This window comes from Homo sapiens, chromosome 1, assembly GCF_000001405.40.
Source record: "Homo sapiens chromosome 1, GRCh38.p14 Primary Assembly".
Lineage (NCBI taxonomy): Eukaryota > Metazoa > Chordata > Mammalia > Primates > Hominidae > Homo > Homo sapiens.
In genome coordinates this window covers 244,230,535-244,244,329 of record NC_000001.11, presented here as the reverse complement: position 1 = coordinate 244,244,329, position 13,795 = coordinate 244,230,535, and the positions used below count along the sequence as shown (strand labels likewise).

The 13,795-nt window shown below is 46.2% G+C and overlaps 1 long non-coding RNA gene across 3 annotated transcripts in view, besides 3 other annotated features; it reads left to right on the top strand.

Annotated features, from left to right (window-relative positions):
* The window catches only part of LOC105373262 (uncharacterized), a 94,430-nt gene extending 80,848 nt beyond the window's left edge, over positions 1–13,582 (top strand). For 2 of the 3 annotated variants that reach the window (XR_949343.3, XR_949344.3), the window contains exon 3: positions 12,055–13,582. This is a non-coding gene — a long non-coding RNA (uncharacterized LOC105373262). The remainder of the gene's footprint in view (positions 1–12,054) is intronic. The other variant, XR_007066983.1, reaches the window with a different exon arrangement.
* Positions 4,064–5,263: an enhancer, noted in NCBI's record as "MED14-independent group 3 enhancer chr1:244402369-244403568 (GRCh37/hg19 assembly coordinates)". NCBI's record gives its function as "activates an origin of replication core promoter dependent on BRD2, BRD4, P300/CBP and CDK7 cofactors, and independent of MED14, by STARR-seq in HCT116 cells {active_cell/tissue: HCT116}" and the evidence as "EXISTENCE:reporter gene assay evidence [ECO:0000049][PMID:35650434]".
* Positions 4,516–4,565: an enhancer, noted in NCBI's record as "active region_2835". NCBI's record gives its function as "activates an Ori minimal core promoter by ATAC-STARR-seq in GM12878 lymphoblastoid cells {active_cell/tissue: GM12878}" and the evidence as "EXISTENCE:reporter gene assay evidence [ECO:0000049][PMID:35858748]".
* Positions 4,576–4,895: an enhancer, noted in NCBI's record as "active region_2834". NCBI's record gives its function as "activates an Ori minimal core promoter by ATAC-STARR-seq in GM12878 lymphoblastoid cells {active_cell/tissue: GM12878}" and the evidence as "EXISTENCE:reporter gene assay evidence [ECO:0000049][PMID:35858748]".
* Positions 13,583–13,795: the final 213 nt, after the last annotated feature.

The window sequence follows — 13,795 nt, the reverse complement described above, 5'->3', positions numbered from 1 at the left end:
CATTTTTATGAGATCCGAAGGTCATAACCAAGCATAGGCCAAATACAATTTGATTATGTACAGCTATTATTTTAAAAAAGTAGCCCAGCATTTATAAATCCCTGTAGTGAGATTTGTAAGTCATACTGTGCAATCTTCCATAAATTTAAAATCAAATCACCAGCTTTAAGCAAATCATGAGCTTTGAATAATCTGTAAAGTAGTGCTTGTAGATGCCAGTCCTGACTTTGAAATATGTGAATATTGAGCCTTACCTGCAGCCCATTGACATTGTTCAAAAGTCTCCTGAGCCCATGAGTCCTGAACAAAGAACTTCCCAAATAGGAGCATGGCGAACAATGCCGGGCATAATTCTAGGGAGGTCTTTAAGCTGGTCAGGAGAATAGAATTTTTTACAAGATTGAGAGCCGGGAAGAAGTGCTGAGAAGTGTAGTCAATTGTTTAAATCATTGGAAACAGGGAATTTAAGTAGCCTTGTGTAACATTCAGCATGAGAAGAAAGAAGCGTAAATGACAGAGTCAAGGAATCTCTTCCCTTACTTAGCTATAAATGAAAGGTATGTATTTTATCAGGAGCCATATGGATGAGCCACCTTACTGGTAATGCATGCTAATGATTTCATTAAGTACCATTAGGTTGGAATAAGAGGATACAGCTGTAATCTTACTCTTTTCCTCATTCAAGGCCATAGGCATCACAGACCTTGGGACCTGGTGGCCCTTGTTCAGATGCCACATTACTGTAGCCACTGGTTGGCTGCAAACCCAGTGGAAAACCATTTGCATTGTTTGGAAGGATGGATTCTGACTTTTCTTTCCATTTTTTTTTGGGGGGGGACTCATTCAAGCCTTCCATCTCAGCCTCCTGAGTAGCGAGGATTATACCACCATGCCCAGCTATTTATTTATTTATTTATTTATTTTTGAGACAGAGTTTCACTCCTGTTGCCCAGGCTGGAGTGCAATGGCTCAATCTCTGCTCACCCCACAACCTCCGCTTCCCAGGTTCAAGCGATTCTCCTGCCTCAGCCTCCCGAGTAGCTGGGATTACAGGCGTGTGCCACCACGCGCGGCTAATTTTGTATTTTTAGTAGAGACGGGGTTTCTCCATGTTGGTAAGGCTGACCTCGAACTCCCGACCTCAGGTGATCCGCCTGCCTCGGCCTCCTAAAGCACTGGGATTACAGGCAGGCATGAGCCACCGCACCCGGCCGGATCCTGACTTTTATACAGGTACCAAGATTCCTTACCAGGTCCCAGCCACTGTGACGGATACTGCTAATTGTTCACCCAACATCTCCATCTCCCTCAGGCATCCTTACTTAGAAAGCCCAATTTTATATGGGGTAGCAACATAGCTCACAGGGCTCTTTTTCTCAGCCTTTGTGCAGCTGATGGAATCCATTTAATACAGTTCCAGTCTTGAGATATGGGAAGAGGTCCTTGGAGAACATGTACTTTTTAAGTCAAAAGACTAAGCTTTACCAAGGGGAAGCTCTCTTTTCACCCTTTGCTCTTCCTCCTAGAATGCAGATGTCAAAATATACAGATGACATTCAGTAAATGAGATGGAAAGCCTGACGATGTTAAGAATAAGTGAGGAGTAGAAAGATGAAAAGAACCTGGGTCCCCGAGAACATCTCACTGAGCAGCCAGACCTGCCCTGACTACAACCCCCACACTTCTTTCCTGTGTGAGAAAGCAAGCCCTGGTTCTTTCCGTTTCTATAGCAATGTTTTCTGTTACGCGTAGCCAAATGCATTCTTAACTGATACCAATCCAAAGAGAGATTCTTCCAGAAAACCTGAACCAAAGTCACATAGTGATTTATTAACTTCTAGAAAATAACACATTTTTAGCCTTAAAAAAATCCAGTTTAAAGAAAACTTTTTTTCTGCATTTCTTTTTTTTTTTTTTTAAACCAGGTGATTTCAGATATCAATAATATTTCCAGTGTGTGAGGAGGAGCAACAGTTCTGTGCTTTTGACAATGTATTACTTCCATCCTTCTATTATCACCATCTTAATGAAAAAAGCAAGTTGACTGTGATATTTCTGCTTAGTGTCCCTGCTCTCTCTTGCTGCCAAAGCCCTTTGGCATTGACGGCTGAACAACCCAGCACCCCACAAAAGGTCCTATTACTTTAGTTTATATAGCACGACCTTGACCACATGCCAGATAGAGAGGGAAAGCATAAGGAACAGCATCAGATGCCCTCGTGTACATTTTATTAATTTTAAAATGTCTTCATTTAATTAAAAAATAAAAATTGGCCATGTGTGTTTTAGTAGTCTTCCCAGAAATAAAACCAACTTTAAAGGGAGTTTGCTTGTCCTGAGACGCCCAGAAACATTTTTAGCCACACTCCAATGGAATGGCGATTTGTGTCAAAGTCCAAGTGAACCTGCCCGAGTCATTCTCCAGTATAAATGGGCTAGGGCCAGTCTTTGTTTCAACCTCAGTAATTAAATCATGTGGTCAGATATAAAGTGAGAACTAGAAACTAGACCAGAATATTTGTATGGGCACCCAATAGACTTTTCCATCTGTATTAACTGTGAGATAATCCCAAAGTGGGACACATATCGCCTGAAAATAGAGTGCATGCGACTATTCCTGAAGTCACAGGCCATTAAGTCTGGGCCATGCATTGACCATAGCTTGACGAGGGCTTAGGTCATGCACCACCTTGCATTGTGTCTTGGCCACTGTCAGTGATATCAGCTGTTGGTCTCAAGATGGCTAATCCGGGTCATTAAGGTTTAAAGACTAGTTTCACCTGACTGGTCAAACAAGTTTTGTTGGGTCCTGAAAATCCAGAAAATAGAAAAAAAGTCAACAAGCATAAATCCCTAGTCCAAGGGGCCAGAGGCATGTTTGAGATAGCTAGAGGACCTTATCAAGGATTGGAGTGGAATTATTAATGCAGCAGATTTTTCTAGAGCTTGCAAGTTTTCCTGAGCACCCCTAGTTAAAGAATTCTAATACCTCTTTTGAAGAAAGCCCATTTCAAGCTTACCTGACTAGCACTTCCAGATTTAAAGAGCTCTGCATCCCTTGCCAGGGAGCTTTCTACAACTGGAGGAGACTAGTAGAGAATCCGAAAGTTTTGGAACCCTGATTTGGACAGACTATCACCTCCTTGCTGCTCAGAGTGGCCCCAGTCCTATAAGTCCTGACAATCTACACTGGAGACATGGAGAGAGCCACAGGATAAATCTGGAGTATTTTCCTGGAGCATTAATTCTGCTTGATGGTAAATAACCAAGAACACTTTTAGGCTTAAACAGTATATTGTGGAGTATAATACAACATTTACATGACGTTTAAGAATGAACACAAGCTTTCAAAGAAGCCTGCCTTTTTGTTGGGTTATGTTAGGCACTCAGATTGACTCTGGTCTGTGCCAGTAGGTGCTCCAGTGGGAAAGGTTTGAAAGGGTAAAGGGGTGATGGTGCTTATCTTTCTCTGCCTAGCACTTTCCTGAACAATGCAGGAGAGAACAAGGACAAAAGAAAAAAGCCACTCAAGATCTCATCCTCTGAAGAAAACCACACATGACATCTTGGGGAACATCTTTCAGGATACCTCCCAATGCATACATACAATGCCGGAGTGTGGATTCCCTTCTACATAAAGAGGATCATACTTGTGTGCTTTACAACACACAGGAAACTTCTAAAATTTGCAGATCAGCTTGATTTAAGTTGACTCAAATAAATTAAGAGTTTCAGATACCTACTCATAGCAAACAAGGTCACATACCAAGGTGAATAGACAAAGCCTTTTACATCTAAGAGGAAATAAATACTCTCTTTCTCTCTCTCTCTTTTTTTTGAGATTGGGTCTTGGGTCTTGCTCTGTCACCCAGGCTGGAGTACAGCACAGTGGTGTGATCATACAGTCACGTACCTCACTGTACCCTCGAAGTCCTGGATTCAAGTGACCCTCACACCTCAGCCTCCTGAGTAGCTGGGACTACAGGCCTACTCCTGGCTACTGTGGCATCACCACACTTGGCTTTTTCTTTTCTTTTTATTTTTTAGAAACAGGATCTTGTTATGTTGCCCAGGCTGGTCTCAAAACTTGTGGCCTCTACCGATCCTCCCTTTTTGGCCTCCCAAAGTACTGGGATTGCAGGCATGAGCCACCGCACCCAGCCTCTTTCTTTTATTTTTAAAAACAACAAGAAATAGGACTTATGGATGCTCAGTAAGTGATGGTTGGATGCATTCCAAGGCTGGAAGGTAAGAGGCCATCATCCTCTAGGTTAGAAGGAACCTGTCGAAAGGAAAGGGCTTTCGAGTCTTTTTGGTTGAGAGGCCTGGACCCACCAGGGCATCTCTTTTCAGCATCTTGGTGGTTTCACCATTGCTGACGGTCTCCCATGAGCATTCAGGGCTGGGATGAGACCTTGGATGAAGAACCTAGAGAGCTGAACCCATCCTGTGAGCCCAGATGAGTGGAGCAGGGCAGGGAGGCAGGAGAGGCATCCATGGAGGTCCTGGGGTACAGCTGCTGCCGAAATGGCCAGGATGTCTATGGCAGGAAACCCAGCCTCAGACACACCTGCCCAGCCTGAGGGTGTGGGCTTCTTTGAGCAAAAGCTTTGTTCTGAGAGTGACTGTGCAAGGTAGTTCTATAAACAGTGGCAGAACTTCAGATGGGGATTAAAGCCCCAAACCTCTCTCCTCTGTGTGTACTGCTAGAGGGGACAAGTCTGGGCCTGCCCTCTGCCTGGATTTCCAGTGCCTGTTAGAGCTCTCTCTCTCTCTCTCTTTCTTTCTCTCTCTCTCACACACACACATGCACACATACACTGCTTATACTACCCTGAGTATAGTCTGAGTGCCTAGAAATTAGGAAGCACACATCAGATTAAGACACTGGCCTTTGAATCAGCCGGGATAGGGTCACAGCTCTTACATCTCTAAGCCGTAAGACCTTGGTCACCTTACTCAGCTCATCTGCAAAATGGAGAAACCAGCTCCTCAGGCAGTGAGGATTAGATTACACTCATGTTTGGCAAGTGCATCGCGGAGTGCCTGGATCAGAATGAGTGCTCCATAGACGGAAGCTACTAGAAAAATCGACTTAAGGGCTCACCTCATCAAGCTCCAGACTTCTTGAGCTGAGAACTTAGTTGCTGTTAGGTGTCCAAACATACTTTCTTTTTCTTTCTTTCTTTTTTTTTTTTGAGACAGTCTCACTCTGTTGCCCAGGCTGGAGTGCAGTGGCGTGATCTCAGGTCACTGCAACCTCTGCTTCCCGGGTTCAAGTGATTCTCCCACCTCAGCCTCCTGAGTAGCTGAGACTACAGAAGCCTGTCACCACGCTCATCTAATTTTTGTATCTTTAGTAGAGACAGGGTTTCACCATGTTAGCCAGGCTGGGCTCAAACTCCTGACCTCAAGTGATCTGCCTACTTCGGCCTCCCAAAGTGCTGGGATTATAGGCGAGAGCCACCATGCCCAGCTAAATATACTTTCTTCACTAATGGAAGAAGGTCTTACTCCTAGTTGGCCCAAGTTGAGTGGAGACACACATGTTCACACAGCTGCATGCACACTGCTTGAAGGGTTGTCAGATGTGCATACTACCCATGGCAACAGTGAATACTTAACAATGAATAACCCTTGACACCTTGGCCCCTGCTGCACTTGCTCCCCAAAGCCTTCCTTCTGGGGTCTGACCGCTCCCACAGGTACACGGCTACCCTCTCCCTTTTCGGTTCTCTATGTTGGTCTTGGCTCCAACTAGTCTCTGAATTCAAGCAACTAGGATCTATGCTTATATATCCCTGTTGGACTCTGGCCCTGCACGTTGGTTAGGGGCGGTATAGCTTACTGGCTAAGAACACAGGATTTATATTCAGACAGCAGTAGGTTTAAATTCCAGCTCTGCTATGACCCACAGATAAAACTGGGTGCAAGTATTTTCAGCCTTTGCGCATCTCAATGTCCTGGACACTAAAATGGGGGTAATAATGGTATTGAAAGGTTCTTTTTTTCTTTTATCTTCCATGCCCCGATTGTTGGACGAAAAGGGTTCTTATAACAATTTAAATTAGTAATATTTATAAAGCATGTGGTAGATACCAAATAAATATTAGCTATTGTTAATTTCATTAATAGATTTAAAAAATTAATTTAGTGCTAAAAATAAAACGTGACAGGATGGATGACTCTGGACTTACAGAAAGAAGAAACCAAGGGTACACCTCAGACTCATTCTTATGTTTTATTATTTATTTATTTGAGACAGAGTCTTGCTCTGTTGCAAGGCTGTAGAGCAGTGGTGCGATCTCGGCTCACTGCAACCTCCGCCTCCCAGATTCAAGTGATTCTCCTGCCTCAGTCTCCCCAGTAGCTGGGACTACAGGCACCTGCCGCTAAGCCCAGGTAATTTTTGTATTTTTAGTAGAGATGGGGTTTCACCATGTGGGCCAGGATGGTCTTGATCTCTTGACATTGTGATCTGCCCGCCTCGGCCTCCCAGAGTGCTGGGATTACAGGCGTGAGCCACTGCGCCCGGCCGGCTCATTCTCATCTTTAAGGTGGGTTCGGAGAAAGGAGATGGAAATGGCCTTCACTCTGGCAAAGAAGGACGGAAAAGTCCCTGGTGACTCATTGGGACGTACTGCTTTGCTCAAGGCTCCTATTGTCATCTTGAGGCAAGTTCTGCTTTCCAAGACCATTGCCTGAATACTGTTTATGATACTTTTTGAGGAAAGGCATTCATTCATACAAGGTAAATGAATTACTGTTATGCAAAGTAGGAAACCCACAGCAGTGTTTGGAGTCCTTTTGGACAGTCTCTTTCTTTTAAAAAATTATGTCTCTTAATTCTTATTTATTTGGTATCTTTTCTTTTCTCCACTGTTTCTAGAAAAAACAAAATGCATGGCCAGTGCACGGTGGCTCACACCTGAAACCCCAGCACACTGGGAAGCCAGGGAGGGCAGATGGATTGAGCCCAGGAATTTGAGAGCCTGAGCAACATCGTGAAACCCCATCTCTACAAAAAATACAACAAATTAGCTGGGCGTAGTGGTGGACACTTGTAGTCCCGGTTACCAGGGAGGCTGAGGTGGGAGGATCACCTGAGATCGGAGGTTGAGGCTGCAGCGAGCTGTGGTCATGCTACTGCATGGCAGCCTGGGTGACAGAGTGAGACCCTGTCTTGAAAAAAAAAAAGGAAAAAAATGCAGCCTCCACTATGTTAGATCATGTAACTACTTAAAACTCTTCTAGTGTTTTCCATCCCACTCAGGACGTAATGCCAAGTCCCTGCAACAGCCCATGGAGCCCTGCAGGGCTAGGCCTCTCCACGCTCGGGTGGCCTGCTTCCTACCCACTCTGCTTGGTTGCTCTCCTTCAGCCACACTGACTTGCTTGTAGTTCCTGGAATGCGTTGAGCAAACATTCCCACAGGGCCTTTGCACATACTGCTCCCCGGCCTGGAATGTTCTTACCTCCGGTGTCCTCATCCTCAGTCCCTCACGTTTCTCAGGTCTCCATTCAGAGGTCATTTTATCCAATGGGACCTTCCTGACAACCCTATCTAGCACCAGCCACCCTGTCACTCTGTCTCCTTACCCCATTTGGCCTTCCTGCATCGCACTTATTACCTCCTAAAGTGTGTGTGCATGTGTTTAATTGTCCAACTTCTCCCGCTAAGATGTAAGCTCCTTGAGGACAGAGATTGTACTTAGCTCGCCGCTTTGGACCTAGCTCCCAGCACCATCCTGACGGTCAGTGGGCACTCAGTAAATACTGAATGAATGGATGTTGAGTGAATGATGACAACCTGACTCTCCAGACTGTGCATGTGAGTGCAGAGGAGGGACTACTTTGCAAATGTACTTCACTCTGAGAGGCCTCAGATGCTCTGTAATCAGTGCTGACTCACTCCACCGACGAGAAGACCCCAGTTGGGTAGTCAGCTTCCTTCACCATGACCTTGGCCTCTGTGACTGTTTTAAGTACTAAGCCTGAAACAAAGCATAGGTCCCAGACGAGCTGATGAGTTCCCAAGAGAAGGTCTTGCATATCCCACCGGTTCAATACATGTTTGAACAAAAGTGCTAAAGGAAAAGGGGGAGGACATGGCTATGGAAAAACAGACCTTATACGGTATGTGCTAGTTTAGTTTTCTTTGCAAGAGAGTTGGGACAGAGGATTTCTCAGAGTCAAAGGAAATACTTTCGATGACCTCCTACCTTACTTTCCTTCTCCTTGGTATTTTATGTGATATTAGGAAATCAGAGAGGGCTTTATTCTCTATTAATCAGAGTATATCTTGGAAGATCAAGAAGATGTTCAATGCCCTTCTCACTATTCAATCACAAACTTCCACCAAGATAAAAAGATGAAAGTTACTTCTTACAGAGATGGATTTTTAATAGTGCTTTTTTTAAAAAAGTAAGTGCTCTTTGTAAGGAAAGGAACAGTCAAGTAATGCAGAAGAGAACAAGGAAGAAAGAAAAATGATCAGTCAAGATCTTATCCCGTGAAGAAGCTGCAGTAACATTTTTGCAAACATCTTTCAGGATACCTCTCAATATATACGCAACGTAGATGTGTGGATTCCCTTTCACCTACATGGGATAATATCATACAATTTATATAAACTGATTTCTTTGCTTGATACTATATTATGGGGGCATCTTTCTATGTGTGAATCTTTATTTTTTCTTTTTTTCTCTTTAGTAGCTTTTTTTTTTTTTTAAATAGAGAGAAGGTTTTGCCGTGTTGGCCAGGCTGGTCTCGAACTCCTGACCTCAGGTGACCCACTGGCCTTGGCCTCCCAAAGTGCAGGGATTACAGGCGTGAGTCACCGTGCCCAGCCCATTTTTAATAGCCTTTAATGGAACAGTAGTATGGCATTGTATGTGTGACCTAGTCAGTTTTCTATTGATAGATATTTAGGTTGTTTCCAACTTCTTGCTGTTAGATAAGGTTGGATGAGCAACTCCATGGGTGTGGCTTAGGAGGCTCTTGTCTCAGCTGAATCTTTAGTAATCTCTGGCATTCCCACTCAGGAAATCCCAAAGCACTAGTGGCCAATGGTCCCTGTCTCCATGCCTAGCCAGAAAACACTGTCTTCAAGGCCCCAGTTCTTCATGTCAATCAAATTGGTTCTATTCATGTGTGGGGAGGCAGACTTGTTTGCTTATTTTTGTTTTCCTAAAAAAATTCAGCAATGCTTTTATATCGTACTTGGCATCAATTATTTGCACCCCTCTAGAATCCATCCCTTCATTTTCTGATGATAACAATTCCTGAGGAATTACCCCTCTCCCATTGCATAGAGTCTTGGTGAACCTGGAAGTGGAGGTGGCGGGGCAGTCATTAAAACCCTGTGCGGTTGCCTGCAACAGCCAGCCTCCACTCCATTCCTTCCCTCTCCTGCCTCCTCCCTCACTGCACAGCCTCCAGGTCACAGGTTTGGAAGCTACTGGGGTTGGCAAGAAAGCAACTCATAAGACTGAGCCGTATTCAACAGAGAGACACCAGGAAACCTGGAGAAGTGGGTGTGTGTTATCTCGGGGACCTTAAATATTCCCTTTCCTTTGCTTTGGGGCACAAGAGGAACATAAGCATGAAATAACAAACTTCAATGCTATGTGGTTTTGTTCTTTAAAATGTCGTCTCTTTTTTTCCCATCATTGAACTTGTCAGGGAGGCTTCTCTTGGCTAAACCCCACTGCGCTGGGTCAGAGCATGCCTCACTATTATTAACCTGTTCGACAGCTGAGGACGCTGAAGCACCCAGAAGCTACGTGACCCACCCAGGATCAGGTGGCAGCAGCCAAGCGTCCTGGGACTCGCACTCTAATGGCAGGCACTGCGCTTGGCTCGGGCTGAGCTGTCCTGGGGCACGCAGCAGCAGCAGCAGCAGCCAGGAAGCCCAGCTCCTGTTACAGGATGAGGTCTCAAGCTGGGGGCTGCTCTTCTTTCTCAGGTGTCAGTGTTAAAACAGCCACAGAAAGAGCTGTAGAAGAGCCCTTGGTGATTTTGCTTTGGAGGGTGTCTGGTCACAGAGTCTGCAGATAGGCGACGGCACTTTCATTATGTCTGTCACCATCGTGGGGGGATTAGGAGGCCCTAGGGTAGGGGACTGAATAGTTCACTGTGGCCCTCCACTGACAACACTAGGTACTGAAGGGTATCAGTTGTTCAACCTCAATTCTAGGGACAGAGGGGGTGGCGGCAGGAAGGAAATGCACCCTATTGAATGTCTACTCCCAGCCAGGCTTCGTTTGGGGTGCCTTCCTGTAGATTGTTTCATGGACTCCTCATGTCAACGCTGAGAGCTCAATCAACAACTTCAGCTTCTCTCCTCCTCTTCCTCCTCCTCCTTTGGGTTGACGAAATCAGATCATCAGAGCTGCTAAGCAGAAAGTAGCCATTATAATATGATGGAGACAGAATTTTAACTCATGGATGTTTTGGGTCCAAAGTTAAGCTTTTCCCTGTTACTATCCCGGCCCTCAGTAGCACCTCGGGACAGGCAGAGTTTTGCCCCGAATCCCTCTGGAGTGAGAAGCCTTTCTGGAAGGAGCACTGCCGAGTCTCATAGACCCCGGTCTATGTCATAGACCCCTAGACACTGGCTTCTGCTCCCATCTGATGGGTCATCTGAGCAGAACAATGTCAAAAGTTGGTGTTTTCTCTGAAACTCTGAGTCTCCCTCCAGACTGCGGTTGGCTCAGGGCACCATTTTGGCTGCAATCCCGCAGAGTTTCATTTTCACTTTTTTATTGAAAAATCGAGATCTGGGGAATTAGAGCCTTTCCATATTGATTTTCCAGGGGCAAGTGAAAATTACATTCTGTACAGGACCAAGAAAGTGCCACCTTTTGTGGCAACAGGGCTGACGGTGGTGATGACGTGCAGGAAGGGGGACGATGGGGCAAACAGACATAGTTTCCATGTAATTTTTTTTCAAAGTGAAAAGGTAAAAAAACTAATTTGGGTTCGTATAAAATGACTTCTGGAATTACAATTTTATTTATTTATCTGTTTATTTGTTTTTATTTATTTATTTAGTTAGTTTGTTTGTTTGTTTGAGACAGGGTCTCACTCTCGTTACCCAGGCTGGAGTGCAGTGGTGCTATCTCAGCTCACCACAGCCTCTACTTCCTGGGCTCAGGTGATCCTCCCAGCTCAGCCTCCTGAGTAGCTGGGACTACAGGCGTGCGCTACCATGCCCGGCTAATTTTTTGTATTTTGTTAGTAGAGATGGGATTTCATGATGTGTTTTGTGTTTAGTTGAAGGGAAAGTTGAGGAGAGACAGGTGAGAACTTTGGAAAATATGAATCTGAGGTTTCTCCTTTGAGCATGTCGGGTGGTGCGTCAATCTGCGTTTGGCCCTCTCCCCCGCTGACGTCACCCAAGCCTAGTGTTTTAGGACCGTGGGGAGAACCAACCAGAGTTCTGGTGCATTCATTCACTTTGGGGTCCAGATCTCTGTTCTGGTCTCAGATCTTTCTCTGCCAACTTACTATCTAGAGGACCTTTCACAAATTCACTAAATTTCACTTAATTTCCTGAACCTTGACTTTTTTCCCTGTAAATTGGGAGTAATAATAGAAACTACCACAAAAGGTTGTAGTGAGGATTGACTGAATAAATGTTACTTGATTGATTGATGAATAAACAGGATAACTTGTGTAAAGCACTTGGTTTTGATAGACAGGTGTCTCTTACATGTAATAACAATCTCCTATTTCCTGGCTAGTCCAAAACCCCAAGAAATTTGAGGTCTCACGGAGTTTGTGGTATTCAGGTCAGGTGGATATATTTGAGGTATGCTTTTCTATTTTGGATTTTATTTCCTCTTTTCTGTTCCACCATGGTAAATGCCTCCTAGCTGGTAGTGGGTGAAAATCTTTTATCCCACTTCTGGGGAAAGCCACCTTCTGGGGAAAGACCTTCTGTGAGTTAATATCCGGAAACAACTGGTTCCTTTCTTCTTGTCTCCTTCCCCTTCCCACCCTCTTTAGCACCTGTGAAATGTCCTATTTTTCCCCCTTTTCCATATGCAGGCTAATTGGTGACATCAACCAAAGCCCTGAAAGTGATTCTGGCAGAAAACGAACATGTCTCTGCGAAGCAGGTGAAGAGCCCGAGACTTTGGAATAGACACACTGGCAGCGACGGGGATGAGACCTCACCAGGGAGGAGGTGCTAAGCCCAACTGCAGGATGTCTCTGGGTGTCCTCCAGGCACCCCAGCTTTGAAGGCACCCCACCAACCCGGGATCCACAAACGTTTCCGCCAGATGTGCAGCCCTTGGAGCAAGTCGTGAAACAACTGCTTTGAAGATGAAGAGCCCTCGGAGCACGCTAAGTAGCTGTATTATTGTCGTGCAGTGTGTGTCACCCTGCGGAGGATTCAACTCCCAGCACTGTCACCGCTGGGGAATTAGTGAAAGGCAAACTCAGCCGGAAATGCCGAGTGCCAAAAAAGAGGAGCGAATAAAATGCTGGGGGTGGGAGGAAGGGGACGGTGGGTGCCTGAGCTTTGAAATTCTGCCACTGAAAGTTCTCTCCCATGGTTCCTTTTCCAACCCGCCCCGAGTGCAACAACTGGACCCGCCATGTGACAGGCGCTGCAGACGGATCGCGTTTCACACATGCAGCTGTAATATCTGGCACACAGGTGTTTGGTTCTGTGTTTGCCAGCTGCTCTGCAGCGCCCTGCTACAATGGATAGGGGTCGGGGGGAGGGGAACCCTCACACTTGTTGCTGCCAAAAGGGAGGAGGGAGCTGGAGATTCCTGCCCCCCGGCCAAGAGCTCAGCATTTGACTCTGCTTGGGTCTCCCCCAGTGCCTGCTTTAGAGGGTCCTGGGGCCTCTTCTCATGGGCTCACCCAGGACTCGGCTGTGGCTGGCTGGGAGGGCGAACAGGGCGTCTGGGAAACCTCCAAGCAAACTGGCCAGGGCCCCAGGAAGCCAGGTCCGGAGGCAGCGCACCCGGGGATAGGAGGCCACTGGGCTGTTGAGTCAGCTTCCAACTTCACCTCTGAGCAATTGTGAAACCTTGGCCAGGTTTCTTGCCCTGTCTGGTCTTAGTTTCCTAATCTATGAAATGGAGTATGTAACTCCTGATCCACCAGCCCTCGTCTGTGAGGACTCCATGAAGCACTCAGGGAAGCAGCGTTACTTTTGTTATTCCCACCTGGGGAAGGTGGGACGGGGCAGAAACTCACCGGGCTCCTGGGCCATATCCCTGGACCCCTGTCATTGAAGCCTGGCCCAGCTGTTCTGGGTCTGAGGCCCAGATATCACCAGTGTCCAGATATCACACAGATCATTGGTTTTCTGCTCTTTTTCCCTCCTCAGGGAGGAAGAGGCCTGGCCATTCAGGACAGTGAAGTCACCGAAGAAAGGTGGCAGCAGGGGAGACTGGGGGTGGACTCTCCAGCCCGTGCCCGCTGGAAGCCCCTCTCCTTTCCCTTCTTAGCACCTGCCGGATGGAGCGTCTATGCAGCTAGGACTGTTATATGGAGGGTTTTCTCCCGCCGTGGACTCTCTGGAGGCTATGGACTGTCTGCTTTGCCCATCATTCTGTCCCCAACACGTTGTCTGCATGAAGTGAAGATTTGATAACTGCCTGCTAAGGGAGCGAAGGAGTGAGTGGGTGGATGAGTGGGACGGTATTCTCACTGCCACAGCTGCTCCCAGCCCTATTTTAAGGACAGAGAATATGCATATTTAAAGGACAGATGCGTGTCTAATAATCCCAGCATGTTGGGAGGCTGAGGCAGGAGGATTGTTTGAGGC